This window comes from Homo sapiens, chromosome 20 (assembly GCF_000001405.40).
Source record: "Homo sapiens chromosome 20, GRCh38.p14 Primary Assembly".
NCBI lineage: Eukaryota > Metazoa > Chordata > Mammalia > Primates > Hominidae > Homo > Homo sapiens.
In genome coordinates this window covers 42,975,247-42,994,771 of record NC_000020.11, presented here as the reverse complement: position 1 = coordinate 42,994,771, position 19,525 = coordinate 42,975,247, and the positions used below count along the sequence as shown (strand labels likewise).

The 19,525-nt window shown below is 42.5% G+C and overlaps 1 protein-coding gene across 6 annotated transcripts in view, besides 2 other annotated features; it reads left to right on the top strand.

The window, feature by feature from the left end:
- The window catches only part of PTPRT (protein tyrosine phosphatase receptor type T), a 1,158,017-nt gene that overhangs the window by 195,135 nt on the left and 943,357 nt on the right, over positions 1-19,525 (top strand). The window lies entirely within an intron of this gene.
- Positions 7,548-8,747: an enhancer, noted in NCBI's record as "CDK7 strongly-dependent group 2 enhancer chr20:41614665-41615864 (GRCh37/hg19 assembly coordinates)". NCBI's record gives its function as "activates an origin of replication core promoter dependent on BRD2, BRD4, P300/CBP, MED14 and CDK7 cofactors, with strong dependence on CDK7, by STARR-seq in HCT116 cells {active_cell/tissue: HCT116}" and the evidence as "EXISTENCE:reporter gene assay evidence [ECO:0000049][PMID:35650434]".
- Positions 8,189-8,483: a silencer, noted in NCBI's record as "tiled region #9137; K562 Repressive non-DNase unmatched - State 24:Quies". NCBI's record gives its function as "represses a minimal TATA promoter and a strong SV40 promoter by Sharpr-MPRA in K562 cells {active_cell/tissue: K562}" and the evidence as "EXISTENCE:reporter gene assay evidence [ECO:0000049][PMID:27701403]".

Here is a 19,525-nt window from a genome sequence, read left to right as displayed (position 1 = left end):
GGGGCATAGCCAGATGAACCTGCCTCAAGGAGGACATTTCTTTAAAGTTTTATGTTTTAACTTAAAAATTTATGTGAATTTTTAATTCTGCTCATTAATATATTCATATTGGTTATAACATTATATTAGTCAGACTAGTCTTGGTTATACTGCAATACCAATAAGCTCTAACATTTCAGTGGCTTTTTGGTTGGGATGTGTGCCTGGCATCTGGCTCTCTAAGGTATGAGACAGCCTGTATAACAAAAAATTGTATTGTTCTAGGTTCCAGTAGCACCTGAGTTTTGTATTTTTTCATTTGGTACTCACCTTTGGAGCAGGAAAAAAAAAAAGTCCTAATGGGTTAATACATACATACAAAGGTGATTTCTAATTCAAGTCACATTTCAAAATAGGTTTTGTGGCACCTCACAAGTGGTGACTCTGGGGTCCTTCTAACTTGTCATATTGACATTTGGTCTCTGAGTTCAGCCTGGAAGGAAGAAGAGAAAAAGTGTGGAGCATTAGAGTGGAGTTTATGGTAAGGCTTGGAAGTGGCCTACAAGTCATGCAGTTGATTGGAATCCAGTCACATGGTCTCGATAGAACTGCAAGAGAAGCTCAGAAATGAGGTGGTCTTATGTGCCTAGGGAGAGATCAATGAAATGGGAGTGGATAAATACATAGCAGATGAATACATACCGGTGCCACACATATTTTAAATTATAATCCAAAGAATAACATCCCAAAAGTTTTCTACTATTCCCGTTACTTAATGGATGAAATTGCACTGACTCAAGTCTGTCACTGAGAAGACTATACTGAGTGGAGAGCTGACAATGTGTTTTGGGCTTGTGTCCAGACAGTTTCTCTTCTATTTGAGTCAGGATATCTCAACAGGGCTTACTCGCATAAATTGGTTATTTCGCTGTGTGACAAGCGATGTCAGGGCAATCACCAAGCAGAGAGGTACTGAATCCTACCAGAAAGGTGGCATGATGCAATATTTTAGGCTAATGTTGGTGAGTTTTGGTGATAAGTCAGGTTGTTCATGTCATATGTCTTGGTTTACCAGTCTGGGAAATGCTGGTCCAAGGAGTGTGTGAGCAAAGAAAGAGGACCGAGAATATTTTCTTTATCATGAGTATTTTAATTGTATTCATATGTAAATAAACTGAAAGGCCCAAATGAGTTTTAGTTCTTATGGCAGATTGTATATATATACACACACATATATGTGTATATATATACACACACATATATGTGTATATATATACACACACATATATGTGTATATATATACACACACATATATGTGTATATATATACACACACATACATATATATATATACACACATACTTTTTTTTTTTTTTGAGACAGAGTCTCGCTGTGTCACCCAGGGTGGAGTGCAGTGGCATGATCTCAGCTCACTGCAAGCTCTGCCTCCCAGGTTCACGCCAGTCTCCTGCCTCAGCCTCCCAAGTAGCTAGGACTACATGCACCCGCCACCACGCCCGGCTAATTTTTTGTATTTTTAGTAGAGACAGGGTTTCACCATGTTAGCCAGGCTGGTCTCAGTCTCTTGACCGTGTGATCCACCCACCTCGGCCTCCCAAAGTGCTGGGATTACAGGCAGGTTGTATATTTTTAAAAGGCCAAATACATATTTTCTGTTCCGTGTGCTTTTCCGGAAGCTCGTCATGCCTCAGTTTGTGTCCCTTCCCCTTGAAACTCATGACTGACTTGATAAATAGAATGTAGTGGAACTGATGCTGTGTGGCTTCCAAGGCTAGGTTAGAGAAAAGGCTATGCAACTGTTGTTCTCTTTCTTCAGACACTCATCTTTGGAGTTCTGTGTCACCATGTAACATATTAAAGGTGGCCATACTTGGAGGAAGCCCTAACTAGTCCACATGAAAGACCACATGGAGAGGCCTGAGACTACATGAAGAGAGTGAGAGAGGTGCTCACCAGCCCTTAGCTGCATCAGTCTCTATGTGATTGCAGTTGTGCCAGTGACATCAAGCCAGAACTGCCCAGCTGAGCTAGTGATTCCTGATCCATGGAGACCATAAATGATTGAGATCATTTTAAACAACTAATTTGGGAGTGACCTGTTATGCAGCAATAGGTAACTGAAACAGTCTCCCTAGTCAAGTCTAATCTTCCAATCCTCCGATTTCTTTTTTGGCTCAGCTATCTTGACACATGCCATTAAAACACTAAGAGTTTTTTGGTCTTGGTTGCTGGATAAAGATGCTAACTCCTTTTTCTGCTCCTCACCCTCCTGGCTGTCAGGAAGAAAGGCTAGGCAGGGCAGCTAGGTTCCTTGCTTCCTGGGCCAGCTTACTGGCCCAATAGACTGAGCACCAATAGACTGAGTTTCCTCCTTTTCTCCATTTTCCAGGGATGGGCACTGATGAGTTAAATAGGTGAGGCAACATGGATGTGCATTGACACTATATATGAACTACAACAACTTGTCTAGAATCAGCAGAGGGGTTTTTTCAATGTCCGGGTTCAATTTAATCCTTTTATCCAGACCTCAAGTTCTTTCTCTCATGACATCATTCTTGATGTAGCACACAAAACCTCTTGGATGTGTCCTCCAAATTCTACAGTAGGGGATAGCGAACTATGACTTGGGGACCAAATTGGGCAGTCTTTTATTTTTTTAATTGCTGATTTTTGTTTATTATTTAAATAGTAATGTTAAATATTTCAATATAATTTCTAGAGAAATTATGTCACACATAGTACTTTGAGTAAACTGAAAACCAAGAATTTTGTTTCTATTCTCATCTCAACAGGCAAAAAATATTTAATAGAATGAAAAGTTTATTGGCTGTATTTGGAAGACTGTTTAACCTGCTAGCAGTCTTAAGAAATTTTTATGGGCTGGGATTGTTTGAACCTGGTTTTAAATTTATCCCGTGGGACTTTCCACCCAGTTATCACTTGGACCCCAAGGGTGAGACAAATATTTGCAACAAGGAATCAGATATGCTTATATTATGTGTTTATCTTAAAATATATATTTAATTTGTTTATTGTGGTAAAATAGACATAACATAAAACTTACCATTTTGACCATTTTTAAGTGTACAATTGAGTGGCATTAAGTAGATTCAGGTGTTGTGCAACCATCATTCCTATCCATTTCTAGAACTTTTTCATCATCCCCCAAAAAGCTGTGTTCATTAAACAGTAACTTCCCATTTCCATCTGCCCCCCACCAGTCCCTGGAAACCACCACTCTACTTTCTGTCTCTGTGGATTTGCCTGTTTTGGGTAACTCATGGAAGTGGAATCATACAGTATTTCAGATAGCTTATTTATATAAATACGTTTCTTTTTTTTTTTCTTTTGGAGCACAGCTATGTTCATTCATTTATGTATTATGTGTGTCTGCTTTTGCCCCACAACAGCAGAGGTGAGCAGTTGTGATAGATAATGTATGTATTGTGGACCCAAAAATACTTACTATCCTAGTGCCTTGCAGAAAAACTTTTCAGACTTCAGAACAAGACTGGAGGTGGCTGGCCTCTATGATTATTTCATTAGCATGGGAAAGGAGCCTCAGGTCCAGTCCCTTGAGGGTGCATTTTTACACGATAAATGTAACTACAACCCTTAACTCAGCCTGGTCAAATTCTTACTGTTTTCAGCTTCCCTCATTTTTGTAGTTAAAAGAATGCAAACCATTTCAGAGTTCCGCCCGCTTTCTCTCCTGGGTTTGCTTCTCTCCACAAGGTCGAAATGACCTGTAAAGCTTTCCTTTCACCCCCTAAATTTTCTAATATAATACCCTTTATTCCTACCAGGTCATCTTTACCTCTTTCCTTTTTGTATAACAAAAACTCTTTCTGATCAATACTGTCCACTTCACATAAGAATGTTTTCAGTTATGAAACAATATCTGCTAAATTATCTAACTCTGCAAACTCCCCTTTTCATTAAGGTGAGTAATGAATTAGTTCTTATTTAGATTTTGACCTTTCTTTGTGTCACCATTTTATTCCCTTCATAAAGAAAAATAAGATTTTGACTTAGAGTTCTGAAACCATGACAGTACCTACATTTTCAAAGTCACTTCTCATTTTACAGTGAGTTTGTTTAAAAATATAATTGAGGTGACCATTTTGCTTTATTTTTTCCAAGACATATCATCTTCACTATTGTGTTGAACACACTTTTTTGGTGAGAGTGTCAGTGAGAGATACAGAGGTAAACCTAGGTCGTAGGGTGTATGGTGGCCTTGATATACACTATGGCTCTCTGAAGTTTTACCCATTCTTGATGTGGGCCCATTAGTGTGTAAGTTTATACATTAAAAACATTTTTTTCTCCCTTCGAAACAAAACAACCCTAAATCCCATGCACCAGATGATTTTATTATCAGTCACTTATTAACTTAACATCTTCATAAATACCAACATTAAAAAAAAGCTGAACAAATCCTCAATGCAGTATCTAAATCAGAGGTTGGCAACCGTTTCTCTAGAAAGCCAGCTAGGAAATATTTTTCCAATAGATTTTTTCCCAATAAAACTTTATTTAGAATAAGCAGCCAACCATAGTTTTCTGACCCCTGTTCTAAGTTGTTCACCATCATGCCTTCTTTTCCCATAGACTTTAAAATGTCTTTTAAAAGTGCATATGTTTTTTAATATCTCTTTGAAACGGTGACGGCTTCGTAAGATGATAGATGTTTTGTGCGTGTCATGATACTTAGGCACATTTTTTTGTTTGTTTCTACAATAATCAATAATGACAAGCCTATAAGAAACAAAGCACCTATGTGCATCCTACTCATTGGTGAATGCTGCTCAGTCTTCATTCAACATCTCCACAAGGGCTGTGGTGTTATTGGGAGAAGCCCAAGGGGATGTGACTGTGGTGTGACCTTCTGTGACTGGAGGTTTTTCTGTGCTCATTGCCTTTCACATTCTCAGTGATTTCAAGTTTACATCTCAAAATTCCAGCTTATAATCATCAATTTTCCCAGTTGAAATCATACTTAAGTAAGGTAAATGAAGCATGAAAGCAAATCAGAAAATACAGCAGTCTGTAGACTCTTCTGCTGTCAAGGGAGGGAGGAGGGAGTGGCTGGGGAAATGGAATCAAGTGTTTGGGAATGAAAACATTGATGGAACATCCTTGTGGTACCTGAGTTGATTTGTGGGAGCCAGTGGAGTTTTGTATAATAATAAACCAATACTCGTTTCTAGGGTGACACATTTCCTGTTCCCCTGGTTCTACCTGGGCAGTCCTTGTCAGCCTCACTGGGAAAGCCCAGTGCTCACTTGCTGTGACCCAGGAAGGGCACCAGCCACATGGGCCAAGGTATGCCTTGTACACTGGCTAACTGCTAAAGTGATACTCCCGGGTTCTCCCAAACCACGGCAGTGCTACATTTTGTCATCTCTCACTGCTCACACAAATATTTCCTGATCTCTGTGTTTTCATGAAGAACTGTGCTATCCCATGGAAATTGGTAGAATTTTACTAATTGTGCTTGCACCCATGTGCAAAATATTTAAGGATTTGGTGTAATGTGAAAAGGGTCTCAGACTTGGAATCAGGGAGTTGAGAGTTCAAACCCAGCCCTTTACTCAGTACCACCCACATAACTTGGAGCAAAGAGATAAACCTAAGTTTTCTATTCCATAAAATGGGCATAATAATGCCAATCTGATGGCATTTGCCCATTCATTTACTAATTCATTCACACAATGGTTATTGAGTGCTTACTCTCTGTCATATGCTGTGTGATGTTATCCTGAGACCTTATGATAAAGGATAAACATGGGCTTAGTGTCTAGAAGATGATGCAAGCATTAGGGATAAAGCATGTGAAGTGTCTTAGATGTAGCAGGTGCTTCTTGCAAGGTAGCTATTACTATTCCATCATTGTGATGCTCATGGGTGTTGGCAGTTGCAGGTCACAAGGCACACTGTCACCTCGTCGAATGGTTGCCCTCATTCCTAGCATGTCCCTCCGGTTGACTCTTTACCCCTGAGGCCAAGACTCAATGTTCATCTCTGCTGCAAATGACTGACCCAGTCACAGGTTCTGACCAGGGGTTCCTATTTCCCTGCAGCCACTGTCTCTCCTGGTTTATTGCCTGGGAGAAGCATCTAATAAAAAGTCAGTGGCTCTGCTGGTCCTGTGTGAGTGTGTTTCCCTGCTGTATGGTGCATATAATTTCATTGGCCGTCATGAACCTGTCAGTTGCCATGTGTTGTATGACCGAGCTGCTTGCAGCACATGGGGGATGGGAAGCCTGGACTAGACCCAAGTCAGAGGGAGGGAAGCCTGGTACATCTCCCCCATCCCATGACCCTGTCCCTGAGAGAGCAGACCCGTGGAGCACAGATCCACAGCTGTTCACTTAAATGTCACCACTTCAACTAAGGGCAAGACAAGCACGGACTGCATAGTCAACATGGACCAGAGGACTTTTCGAATGGGGAAGAACATTAAATATTTTCACGCCTGACTCCTAGGTTTTGTAGACAAGGAAAGTGAGGCCCCTCTGATGAGAAGGCTGCCATTCTTTGTTTTGGTAACATTGACAGAGCACTTATTCTATTTTCAACACTCTGGGGACACAGTGATAAACAGGACACACAGCCTTCAGTGGCCCGTCTCCAAGATGGGGCACAAAATCCTTGCCTCCTTGTAGAATCCCTCCCATGTTGTTCCAGGGCTGATGTGTGTGATCAGTGGACTTTGGCAGAAGCTTTGATTTGTCACTTCCAAGATTCGATTGTAATAAGAGCTACTACAGCTTCCATCTCGGCCTGTCTGTGGGATCCCTTGCTCAGAGGGAAGCAATGGCAAGCTGTCCTGTGAAGAGGCCCACGTGACCTCCAGCCAGCAGCCACATGTGTGAGCATGGAGGAGGATCCCCAGCTCCCGTCAAGCTTTCGGGTGACTGTGGCCTTAAGATGTTACACGTTTCATAAGTGCCATGAAAGGAGAGACAGGCAGTGAGAGGTTATGATAATTACTGCAACTATTGTTTATCTGTATGGGTGAATTTTGGTGTGGGGGTGTCAGGGATGATGGCTTGGAGGAAGCAAAGTTTGCAGTGACTCCTGATAGAATGGGGGCTTTAGCCGAGGAAACTGTGGGGGAGGGGTGGGCGGAGTGTGGGCGGGGTGAGTGTCTGAGGTGGCTGACATTTGGTATGTTTGAGGAACTGAAGACAGGGTGGGTGGCTGGAGTGTGACAGCATGACCAAGTGTCCACCAGAAGAGGCTGGGAAGCAAGCAAGGTGAGACCATGCAGGTCTGGCAGGCCCCATGAGGGGTTGGGATTTTGTCAGCTAAGCCAGAGCTGCAGACAGGACTTTCTGCCTTGAGGGCAGTATTCTGTATCTGCACTGCCGACCACCATAGCCACCAACCATTGGTGGCTATTGTGCACTTGAAATGTGGCTCGTGCGACTGAGGAACTGAATTTGACATTTTATTTAATGTCAGTCAATTTAAATTCAAGTAGCCTCATGTGGCCAGTAGGCACCCTCTAGGGCAGTGTAGAAAGTGCAAGGGCAGCTGGGGGAGAAGCTCCTGGCAGGGCAGTGGTATCACCTCAGAGGAGTTTGTAGGGAGGCAGTGCTGGTTGCAGGGGCGAGGATGGGTGGAAACAACAGAGGGAGGCAGGGAGGGGTGGATGTGGGGGTCTAGGTGGAGATGATGGCTGCCCACCAACTGTCCTGAGTTCTGTGGCCTCTTGTGCCTTCCTACAGCCCCAGTACCATATGAGGATTGGAACCGCTGAAGCGGGAGTCAGTGTGTGTTTGTTTCTACCTGGTCTAGCCTGATGCAGGGATGTGGCCTCTAAGACAGCAACTGCAAAGGATGGATGGGTTAGTCCTCTCCCAGAGGAGAGTCTGTCCCCAGCCTCTGGTGTTCACAGAAGCCCCCACTGTACAGCTCTCTTTCTAGGGCTGGGTGTGGTTCGGTGTCTTCACAGTCGGGTGTGGAGGCTGCTTACTGTTTATGCTTTAGTTTCTTCATCTGCAGATAGGATATAAATACTATCTACCTTGTAGGAGTTTCATGAGCCTCAAATGAGATAAATCCATGTAAACTCCTTCCCACAGTGAGTGACGCATGGAAGAATGGATGACTATCTACTGTCGCTTTCTTTGTCACAGTCACCATCATCGTCCATGAGCTAGGAATCTCTAGTTCTGTTTGCTGGCCTCATCTGACCTCATATGACCCTTAGGGCTAGACAAAGCTCCATTCAGAAACTGTCTCTCGAGCTGTACTAAGGGGAATGCTGGAGTTGGATTCCACAGGATGCTGCAGAGGGGAGTGGGTGACTCAGGATGAGTCCAGGTGGAGGAAGATGCCAGAATGCTTAGGTCTATTTTCATCAAACGCTGGTCGTCCTAAAATGGACAGGTGGAGGCTGCAGGAAGCTGGTTTGCTTTGGAGACACTGGGAACACCTCAGTGAGTCACAGAGGGGCTGGGAACACCTCAGGGTCTGTGCCCTCCCACCTAATCGCTCTTGAAAATGATTCTGGTACAGAAGAAAATCTGGCTTGAGGCCGCTCCCATTTCCTGTGGCCTTAGGAAGGTAGTGTGTGTACAATGACATATTCGTTGGCATAGTGTCAGAGCTTCATATTAATGTCAAGGATTAGTTGAATATCATATTAAGATCCTTTTTTTCCTGCTGCTCTGTTCATGGAATGAATGATCGATAGAGATGAATGAAATGATCCGCGGTAACTTGGACTCACTACACCATTGTACTAATTTTATGTCCCTGTTGTCTTGCCTTTTGAGGCTCCTGTGGTTCACGGTCATAAATGTAGACCTTGTGTTCTGCTTCTCTTACCCTCATTCATCTGGCTCCAGCCTTGCTGGCCACACTGCTGGGCTGCTCCTTGAACAGGGAGGCGTACCTTCACCTTGGCTGCTGTTGATACCTGCATCAACCTTCCCCTGGCTCTGGGGGGCGCACTCCTCATCCCCCCGCTAGACTTTGAACATCTTCTCAGTGAGGCTGAGTCTGACCATTCTATTTACAATTATGGCCCCTCCCCTTTACCTCTGATCTACTTTTAGGTTTTCTTCTCTGTAGTATTTACCACCTTCATTCTATATAATTTTAAAAAGTCTGTATTTTTAAAAAAGTGCATTGTTTTTGATCTGTTTCCCACCCCTACCCCCACAAGAGAGTAAGCTCTACAAGAGCAGGGGTCTTGGTTCTGTTGGGTTCTGTTCTGTTCTGTTGGCCACTGTATCCCCACTTTATTTATTTATTTATTTAGCAACGGAGTCTCACTCTGTTGCCCAGGCTGGAGTGCAATGGTGTGATCTTGGCTCCTGCAACCTCTGCCTCCTGGGTTCAAGTGATTCTCCTGTCTCAGCCTCCCGAGTAGCTGGGATTACAGGCACGAGCCACCAGACCCAGCTAATTTTTGTATTTTTAGTAGAGACGGGGTTTCACCATGTTGGTCAGGCTGGTCTCGAACTCCTGACCTCATGATCCACCCACCTCGGCCTCCCAAAGCGCTGGGATTACAGGTGTGAGCCACCACACCCGGCGGTATTCCCACTTTCTAGTACAGGGCCTGGCATGGAGTTGCTGAGTCGTAAAAATGTTGAAGTAATGGCATCCAGGCTCTTGAACCTGCTCTTCAAAGTCCTGACCCCCATTGCAACTTCCATTCCGTTCTTTCAAGATCCCTCCTGCTGTAGCTCCCAGTTGGGTCATATTCACTCAATCTTCATGTCTGGTTATTCCTCATTCCTTCTTCCTGAATTGCCTGCTGTCTTACCCCACTGTCTTCTACCAGTACATTCACCCTTTAGGCCACCTAAAACTTCCTAAGCCACCTGGTCAGCCTCTGTCGTTAGCACTTACTGGCTCTGCTTACCACATGCTATGCATTCATTCCTTTAACTGTTGCTGATTCCTAGGTCTTGAGTCTTTCTTGAACTCTTTGTTCTTATGACTGGCATCATACAAGGAGAATGGACTTTGGTGTCAGACAAGCCTAGGCTCTTCTTCTACTACCTATATGACTTGGTTAAGTTAAAGAACTTCTCTGAGCCTATTTACTTTTCTGTAAAAATAAAAGCAATGATTCCTACCTTGGAAGTTATTGTGAGAACTAAATAATAAAACTTGCATGACAGCCCATAGTAGGTGCTCAAGAAAATTTGCTGCATGATGGTGGAGTGAGCTGAGCATCATGGGGTAGGGAGCTGCAGAGTTAACTAAGGAGACTTTACTTCTGTGTGCTGATTTGGAAAGGGGAGATTGTTTTTGTTCCACATTAGAATAATGAGAAAGCTCTTATCTTTATTGGAATCCTTCTACAGAAAGTGGAGAGCTGTATTTGTGTCAGAAATAATGTGGTCTTTTTACAAGCTTCTGTGTGATAGACAATAGCAGAGCCTTTTTAACTGGCATGTTCAGGACTTTTTCTGTCTGTCTCTTTATATGGTCTGTCAATTCCAGTCTTCTCGTGGCTTGTGAATGACTTGTGGCATTTGATTAGTTACTTCTTTGTGAATTGAGGAAGGGTGCATGTATGTATGTGTCTGTGAGCCTGCATATACACTCATGTTTGTACATACATGTGCATTCATATATGAACATACCTGCTTATATATGGGGAGCTGTGTGCTTGTGCACATGTGGATAAATGCATGCCTATTAACTTGTATGTTTTGGTGCAGCTGAGTGTACCTGTCCATATTTGCATGCATGTGATTGTGAGCGAACATGGTGGTATCCTGCAGATAAAACTCAAATGGGCATGGTAGACCTGACCAGTCAGCTCCAGGCTGGGGAGCTGAGACCAAAGTGGAGTTGTCTGATTGGAAGAATGTGTGTTGGTGGTGGAGAAGGGCAAATTGGGACCCATGGGAGATGGAGATGGGGCCAGCGTGCCCAGGGAAATACAACCTATGTTAAACAGGGAAAATGGAATAAGGCCTATACACAAAACATTAGGTTGCCAGAAGTAAGGCAGGAAACTGGAAAGAAACACGACAGTGGGGTGGAAGTGGAAGGGGAAGCTCTGGGCAGTACCTCCAAGGTGTGTGAAACCATCTCTCATTTCTAGTGGGTTGTGGGCAGGGCCTCTGGCCACACCTCCCTGTGGACTACACTTGTCTCAGGAGTGTGAAGTGGGCATCCCCAGATCCCAGGAGGAGCCCAGGACCTGCAAGACACCTTCTGTGCTGGTGTCATGTGCCCAGCTTGGAGATGTCCCTCTGATAGTGGATATGGCATCCAGGGGGACTTCACTTGGGAGGCAGAACACCCTGGTGGTGCCTGGACTCCCACTGTGGCTCTGCCTTGGTGTCTCTGTGACCTTGGGAAGTTGCTCAGCTTCCTGGGGTTGATTAAGGGATTAAACAGCAGGAGGATGTAGAGTGCTTAGCTCTGTGACTGGCAGAGAAAAATCACTCAGCCAACACTGGGTCTCCCTTCTCAACTCATTTTCATTGTTATTTCCAACCTTGGAGTTGTAGGGCATTTTAGCACTCAGCATGGCTGTGACAGGCTACAAAGTGGCCTAAATTTAACCTAGTGAAATGTAAGAGGAGATGTTTAAGGGTCTCTTTTGGGGCTCCCTGAAGAGACACACAAAGGATGTGCACACAAAGGATGGGAGAGCTTGAAATAACAAGAGCAGAAGAGACAAAGCACCCAGTGGGGAAGTGACTATAACACCAAAGGAGCCACCGGAGCCAGCCTGGAGTCTGAGCCTGTGTAGACAGGTTGCTGCCCAAATCCCAGCACTGGCAGCTGCTTGCTGACCCCGGCTGGCCGTGTGACCTTGGGAAGATCGTCTAATGCCCGTAAGGTATGTGGGAGGTAGTGATTATATCTACCTGGATAGATTATAAGAAGTTGGGCAGAAAGTTCACGCAGTGCCTGGCACAGAGGAATTGTGCCTGCAGTCATCAGATCCTCAACCTCTGCTCTCCGTGTCATAAGAGCAGCAATGGCACCCTGGAGCTGAACCTCAGGAGGGCGGGTGTGGGAGAGGAGCAGAGGGATGGAGGCTGCTCATCAAGGACCTGGGAGGCAACCAGGTCCTTGGCTGGGGAAGCCGAGTGGACGGAGCTGGCCCTGCTCACCTCCATGGCCTCATCTCCCATCGCTCCTCCCCTTTCGATCCATCTACACTGGTCACCTTCTGACTTCTAGAAGCTCCTTGCTGCCTCAGGGCCTTCACATAGTTCTCTTTGGCAGATTTTTCTTTTTCCTAATGGTTGGCTTTTTTTATACGCTTAGATCTTATTTCACATCTCACCTCCTCAGAGAGGCCTTCCCTTCCCTCCTTGCTGAGTGGGTGTTCATGGTCCCGTGCTCAGTCACGCTCTGCCAAGCTCTGTGTGTATTTCTTGCATAATCTTTATCACATGATATAATTATGTTACTTGTTTGTTTACTCTATTAAGGTCTACCTCCCACATGCACAGTGAGCTCTGTGAGGACAGATGGATGGCTTCTTAGTCATGGCTCTCTCTCTCTCCACCACCCAGCCCCGTGCCGGCAGCATAATGATGCTGAGTACGTTTGAAAATTTGGTGGTAAGTGTAGGCAGAAACTCATGGATGACACCTCTTCGTCAACCTAACGAAGGTCTTTCAGTACTTCCAGGAATGCGTGAAACTTTCCCAAGGGTGCCTGAGCCAAAATCAGGAAACCCACATATTGGTGATGCTATATGAGTTTGTTAGGAAACCCACATATCTTTTCAGATGAGTTTAGGGACTTATTGGGATCTTCCCACCTATGTCTTCTTCCCTCGGTCTAGTTGTGGCCTCTGGAGCTGGAAGGAGCTGAAAAGAGCGCCCCATAAAGAGACCATTGCCATTTCTGATTGGGTTGGTGACTGTTTTGCTAGTGCTCAGCCTTCCTAGCCAACACCCAAAGCCATCCATTAGAAAAGGGAAAAAGGAAATGAACATAAATGCAGTGCCTGATAGTGTCAGTTTTTGCTGTGTAACAAATGATCTCACAACTTAGTGGCTTATACAATAGCCGTTTTATTTTGTGTACAATCATGCGTGTCCAGTAGGTGGTTATTCTTCTCTGGCCAGCTTGTTTAGTTTCTGCTGGGTTCTCTCATGTGTCTCAAGTGCCCTGCTCACATCTCTGGAGTTCAGCAGGCTGCCCTCTGGAGCACCTTGGTTCTCCTCCATGTGGGTTCCCATCCAGCAGGCTAGGTCAGGTTCATCCCTGTGATGCTCTCAGGCTTCCAAGTGCAACAAGAGGGCAAGCCCAATGCGCAAGTACTTCTTCAAGCCTCTGCTTGCAGCATGTTTGTTGATGCCTTATTGGCCAAAGCAACTCACGTGGCCAGGGCCACAGTCAGTGTGGGAAGGGATAACCCAAGGGTGTGGTTACAGGGAAGTAGATATTGCAAACAATCTCCCACCTTCTCTGTGCAGGTGATTACATGCATGTTCTGATTTATTCCCTGAAATATACCATTCACTCCTTAAAAGAAGGACTTTTTCTGTTGTTTGCTTTTCATGGATAGGGACCCTGAAGTTCAAGGAAGTTGAAGGAGGTACATTTACACAGTTGGAACTGCCTAAGTAAAAATTGCACCTGACAAATTTAATCAGGCAAGGAAGATATTATTCAAGACCATTGTAATCAGGTCGAGACAGGACTTAACTCTCCTGAAACAAAGGGACGAGGAATTCTTAAGAGCTGGAATTCTCAGGCCATCTGTGTTTGCTACTTAAGTTTACTAAAGGAAAAGTAAACTTTCTCATATCTTCATGATAGGAGAGGTTAAAAAGTTGGAGAAAGGCACACTGAAGTTGGGCTCCCACTCTTCCGCAGACTGGGAGATAGGGACGCTCTCTCCTTCAATGCTCACATTTCAAATGGTTGCTTCCCAGGTCCTTGAGAAAGACATTACTTGGGTTGTAAAACTAGTAAATGACCAGCAGAATTTTTTTAAAGGAGCAGAGAAAGAATTTGTAGTTACAAGTTTTCTAAAGTAGACGCTCTAACAAAAGGGAGGTGAGGAGCTTATCAGGAAGAAACCTGTCTAAAACTTTAGTCAAACCAAGGGGAAGGAATGTCAAGGCTTTCTTGGTCAGAGCTGAGATTTGACCCCCAGGACCATCTGATTTCAACACTCACGTGCTCCTTCCTTCAAGACCACACACAATACAGGCTGCAGTAGGGTGGGGGGAAGTCTGTCACCATTTAGAGACAGCTTAGGCAGTTTCTGAAGAATTTGTCTTCGAATTTGAATAAGAGAATGTATTTAACACATTGATGAATTCTATAAAATTGCAGCTGCAGCATGTAGAAAAATTAGACCTTTAGTGGTTAAAATCTAGATTCACAATGTCAGAGCAAGAAGGGGTCACGAATACAAGTTCATCTATTTCCCCGTTGCACAGGTGGGAACTGAAGTCTTGCCCAAGGTTACAGAATGAGACCGTGTTGGATCTATGTTTGTACCCCAGGCTCCCAATTCCCAATGCTGAGTTCTTTCTACCCTATTTTCCAAGGTTTTGCACCAGCGGCTTCATCCGGTTTTCTCTTTTTTCTTTTTCTCCTTTCTTTTCTTTTTAAAGGCTCACTGGCAGCTACTGCTCCAAGGCAGAAAATGTATTCATTTAAATGACTTCGTTTGGAAATAGAAGCTTGAATAATGATGTTACCATTTATAATTGCTCTGATTAACCACACCACGTTTTGCAGTTTAGAATAAAAAAAGCCTCATTCCTTTTGTGATGTGAATTTTAATTGCTTTCTCTCAGGAAGACCCCCCCCCACCCCCCCTTCCCGGCCGGCATACTTGCATGCTCTCCGGCTTCTGGAATCTCAAAAAGACCCCCTCCAGGCATGCCTGTGTGCTCCCTGGGTTCTCTGGCTGAGATTTGGGGCTGGACACAGGATAGACGTTCTGGGAATACCTGGGTGATTTGAGATTTTGGGACAAAACCTACCTGACTCTACAGTTATTCACCTTTAGACCAAAGTTTTATACTCCCTGGGGAGAATCACAGCTTTAGGGTTCCCATAAGGCCCAGACTGGAGACCTAGGATAAGGGGATTTAGAATTTTTCTAAGGGTTTTTGGTGCACACTGGAGTTGTCATCCCTGAGATTACAAAGGGGGCAGGATCATCCATAATTTATCTGCCAGTGAATGTGTCCTCTCAGATAGATTTACTTCTCCTTTTTTTTTCAAACCTTAAGGATATTTCAGTTGTTTGACATTTCACCCGTCTGAAATAAGAATCAGCACAGCGTGCAGTAGAAAGAACAAAGTCTACAAAAATATAGGTGAATGTGTATTTGATTTTACGGGGAGCAAGGGCTTTCCAAGTGTAAAAACCAAGAAACAAATGATGAGAAAGGATAATGGAGTTAGTTGTGTAAAATTCATAAACATTTGTAAGTAAAAATACAATTACAAAAAAGGTAAAGAACAACTTGAGGGAAATATTTACAGCAAATATGATTCACAATGGCTAACTATCCTTGATATATAAAGAACACTAATAAGCAACAAAAAGGTGTCTTGACAGAAAAATGAGTTGTTTTTCTTACAACTCATGTAAGAAAAATTGCCATAGTCAATAAAAATCTGAAAAAAAATTAGCTTTCCTTTTAGTTGCTGAAATATAAATTTAAAAAGAATAAAGGTACCATTTTTTCTCGATTTACGTTGACAACAATTTAAACAATAGTGTTATTTCAGGAAAGGGGTCCTGGTCCAGACTCCAAGAGAGGGTTCTTTGATCTCGTGCAAGAAAGAATTCAGGGTGAGTTCCTAGAGTAAAGAGAAAGCAAGTCTGTTAGGAAACTGAGGTAACAAAAGAACGGCTACTCCATAGACAGAGCAGCCGAAGGGCTGCTGGTTGCTCGTTTTTATGGTTATTTCTTGATGATATGCTGAACAAGGGATAGATTATTAATGCCTTCCCCTTTTAGACCATATAGGGTAACTTCCTGACGTTGCCATGGCATTCGTAAACTGTCATGGCGCTGGCGGGAGTGTAGCAGTGAGGATGACCAGAGGTCACTCTCGTGGCCATCTTTGTTTTGGTGGGATTTAGCGGGCTTCTTTACTGCAACCTGTTTTATCAGGATGGTCTTTATGACCTGTATCTTGTGCCGACCTCCTATCTCATCCTGTAACTTAGACTGCCTTAACCGTCTGGGAATGCAGGCCAGTAGGTCTCAGCCTCATTTTACCCAGCCACTGCTCAAGATGGAGTTGCTCTGGATCAAATGCCTCTGACAGTATTGGTGGTGATAAAGTGATATGTTCATCTAGAGGATATAAATTCTTGCAATCTTTCTGGAGAGCAGTTTAGTATATAGTTTTAGAACCTTAAAATGTGCATACTCTTTGACCCTGTATTCTCTCACTTTTCTCAGTTTTGCTTTCTGTGGTTTCAGTTACCCGAATTCACCTGTGGTCTGAAAATAGGTGGGTACAGAACAATAAGATACTTTGAGAAAGAGAGATAAAGAGAAAGATCACATTCACATACTTTGATTACAGAATATCATTATAATTATTCTACTTTATTATTAGTTATTAATCTCTTACTGTGTCTAATTTATAAGTTAAACTTTAACATAGATATTAATATGTATGTTCAGGACAAAACGTAGTATGTATAAGGTTGGGTACTATCCAATGCACCAGGCATCCACTGGAGATCTTGTTTAGGACAAAACGTAGTATGTATAAGGTTGGGTACTATCCAATGCACCAGGCATCCACTGGAGATCTTGTTTAGGACAAAATGTAGTATGTATAAGGTTGGGTACTATCCAATGCACCAGGCATCCACTGGAGATCTTGGAACATAGTTCCTGTGGATAAGGGAGGACTATTATAATTCCATTCCCACGAATTTATTAGTTTAGGGAAACAATTAGAGATGCACATAAAAGGTAATATAAAAGGATTTTATCACAAGATTGAGATAGAAAACTGAGGAAAACAATTTTAAATGTTCAGCAATAGAGAGTAGCTAAAATAATTATGTGGCTTTCATTTGATATAATTATCTGCAGATGTAAAAAATGATAATTACAAGTAATACTAAATGCCCTGTCAAAAGTCACACTCTATTTAGTTTAAAAATTAGCAAACTAGCCTTTATATACAATCTAGTACTGATTTTATTTAAATTATATGTAAACATAAATAAATGGAAGAAAATGAAACAAAGTATTAACAGTTCTTGTCTCTGGGTGGTAGATTATGAACAATTCTTGATTTTTTTCTTTAGAGAATCTTCCAAACTACTTTACATATTTATTATAATAAACAAGTATTTCTTTTAAAATTGGAAAGTGTAATAAGTGATATGAAAATAAAATATTAAAACCAAAACATAAGGGTAAAGAATCAAAAAGTTTTGGGTGGAAGAGTCTGAGTTTAAATTTGAGCTTTGCATTTACTAGCTGGGTGCCCTTGTTGACGTTTTTGAATCTTGACTCTTTTTGTCTATAAAATGGGAGCAAATGTAGGTCTTCACAAGATTATTCTAAGGGCTAATTTAGAACATAGGAAAGAATGTGGTACCAAATAGACCATCAGTAAATATAATGCTAGATCCTCCATTCTCTCCTTTCATCTGTCTGGCATTTTGGATTTGGAACCCAGGGTCTTCATTGGTTTTTGAATTCTCCTATGAGTCTGTGCTTGTTTTAACCACAGAACCACTTGCTACATTTTCCCATAAGAGGGCTAAGTCAGGCTGGCTGGCTGGCTTCGGCAGTGCTGTGGTTAAAAATTTGAATGGGATATTCAGATTATGTCATACATGACCTCTTCAAAAGCTGACATAGGAAGTCTTCCATTTCTTCCCTCTTTGTTTTGTCAGTTTGACAGTTTTCTAAAATTGCAGTTCCCAGAGGTGGCAAAGATGTAACTAAATGGTTATTTGTATACCATGTTTATGGACATATAAACTCACATAAACTTTTATTAGGAAAATTTGAAAAGAAATATCAAGAGCCTTTAAGCATCTTCCTGTATTTTGATGTAGTAATCCCATGTTTAGGATATAGTATTCCATAATAATAAACAGCCTGAGTGTGGTGGCTCACGCCTGTAATCCCAGCACTTGGGGAGGCCAAGGCAGGCAGATCACTTGAGGTCAGGAGTTTGAGACTAGCCTGGCCAACATGGGGAAATCCTGTCTCTGCTAAAAATGAAAAAAATCAGCCAGGTGTGGTGGTGGGTGCCTATAATCCCAGCTACTTGGGAGGCTGAGGTGGAAGAATTGCTTGAACCCAGGAGGCGGAGGTTGCACTAAGCCGAGATTGCACCACTGCACTTGAGCCTGGGCGACAGAGCGAGACTCTGTCTCAATAAAAAAAAAAAAATAAATAAAAAATGCATACTATACTTTAAATACAATTAATTTCAACTCTGTGTTCTTTCTAGGATTTTAAGGGATAAGGTGGGAATTTGGTTGCCTGTATTCATTAAACTTATACAGTTAGGTATCCTTTGGCAGGAGGCCCAGTGCAGGTCTTTCCTGATGATGATGATATGCAGGGCTCCCTGTATCTGATACAGTTTTCTCAATTATTGTAGTCCAGATGAAAGCTGCCATATGGTATAATGCAAAGATCCTGATCATTAGCATCACAGACATGGATTTGCTTCCAGATGTTGACAGGAGACTGATTTGTGACCTTGAGCAAGGTTCCTCCTCTCTGTATACATTCATTTTCTTATCTGTCAAATGGGCATGATAACGCTGGCCTTGCAGGGATTTCATGTGTAAAGGAGGAGAGAATGCATGTGAGAAGATCGAGTGCTTCATGACCCTATCTAAGATGTTCTCTCTTTTTTTTTTTTGGTGGGGGGGTAAGTTGGACTGATAGTTTTTTTTAATTTTTAATTTAATTTTTATTTCTTCCCCAAAACGGGGCATACATGTGCAGAACATGCAGGTTTGTTACATAGGCATACGTGTGCCATGGTGGTTTTAATGTTTTAGCCTTCTTTGCTGATTGCCTTGGGATTTCTACGTAACGGCTAGACTGCCAGATTTCCCACCCATCTATAGCCTCCAGAAAAGTAGTGTTGGCTGGAACCTTAGCTGCCCCCGCTTGGAAATTGGTAGTGGGTATAGGCGTAGTGAGAATTCTGTCTTGTTTCCTCAAGCATCGTCACAATACTATGAAGGCAGTTTAAGACAGAAGCTTTTGCAGAAAATATTTTCACAAAATAAAAGAAGTTTACAAAGTTTAGATGATTTTTTAAAATAAAAATTTGCCAAATGAAAGGTTTTTATATAAAAAAGTACCTATCCATAAAGTCTGGAAAATATAGGAAAATGGATTACAAAAATAAGAATCCATACATTTTTTTGACTACCCAAAGATAATCATCGGTGGTATTTTTTTGTGTTTCCTTTTAGGGTTGTTGGTGCATTTTCATATAATTGAAATCATGCTGTAAATATTATCATGTGTCTTGCCTTTTTTTCCATGTAACCATAGCATATGCACTTCTCTCATGTTATTAAAAACTCT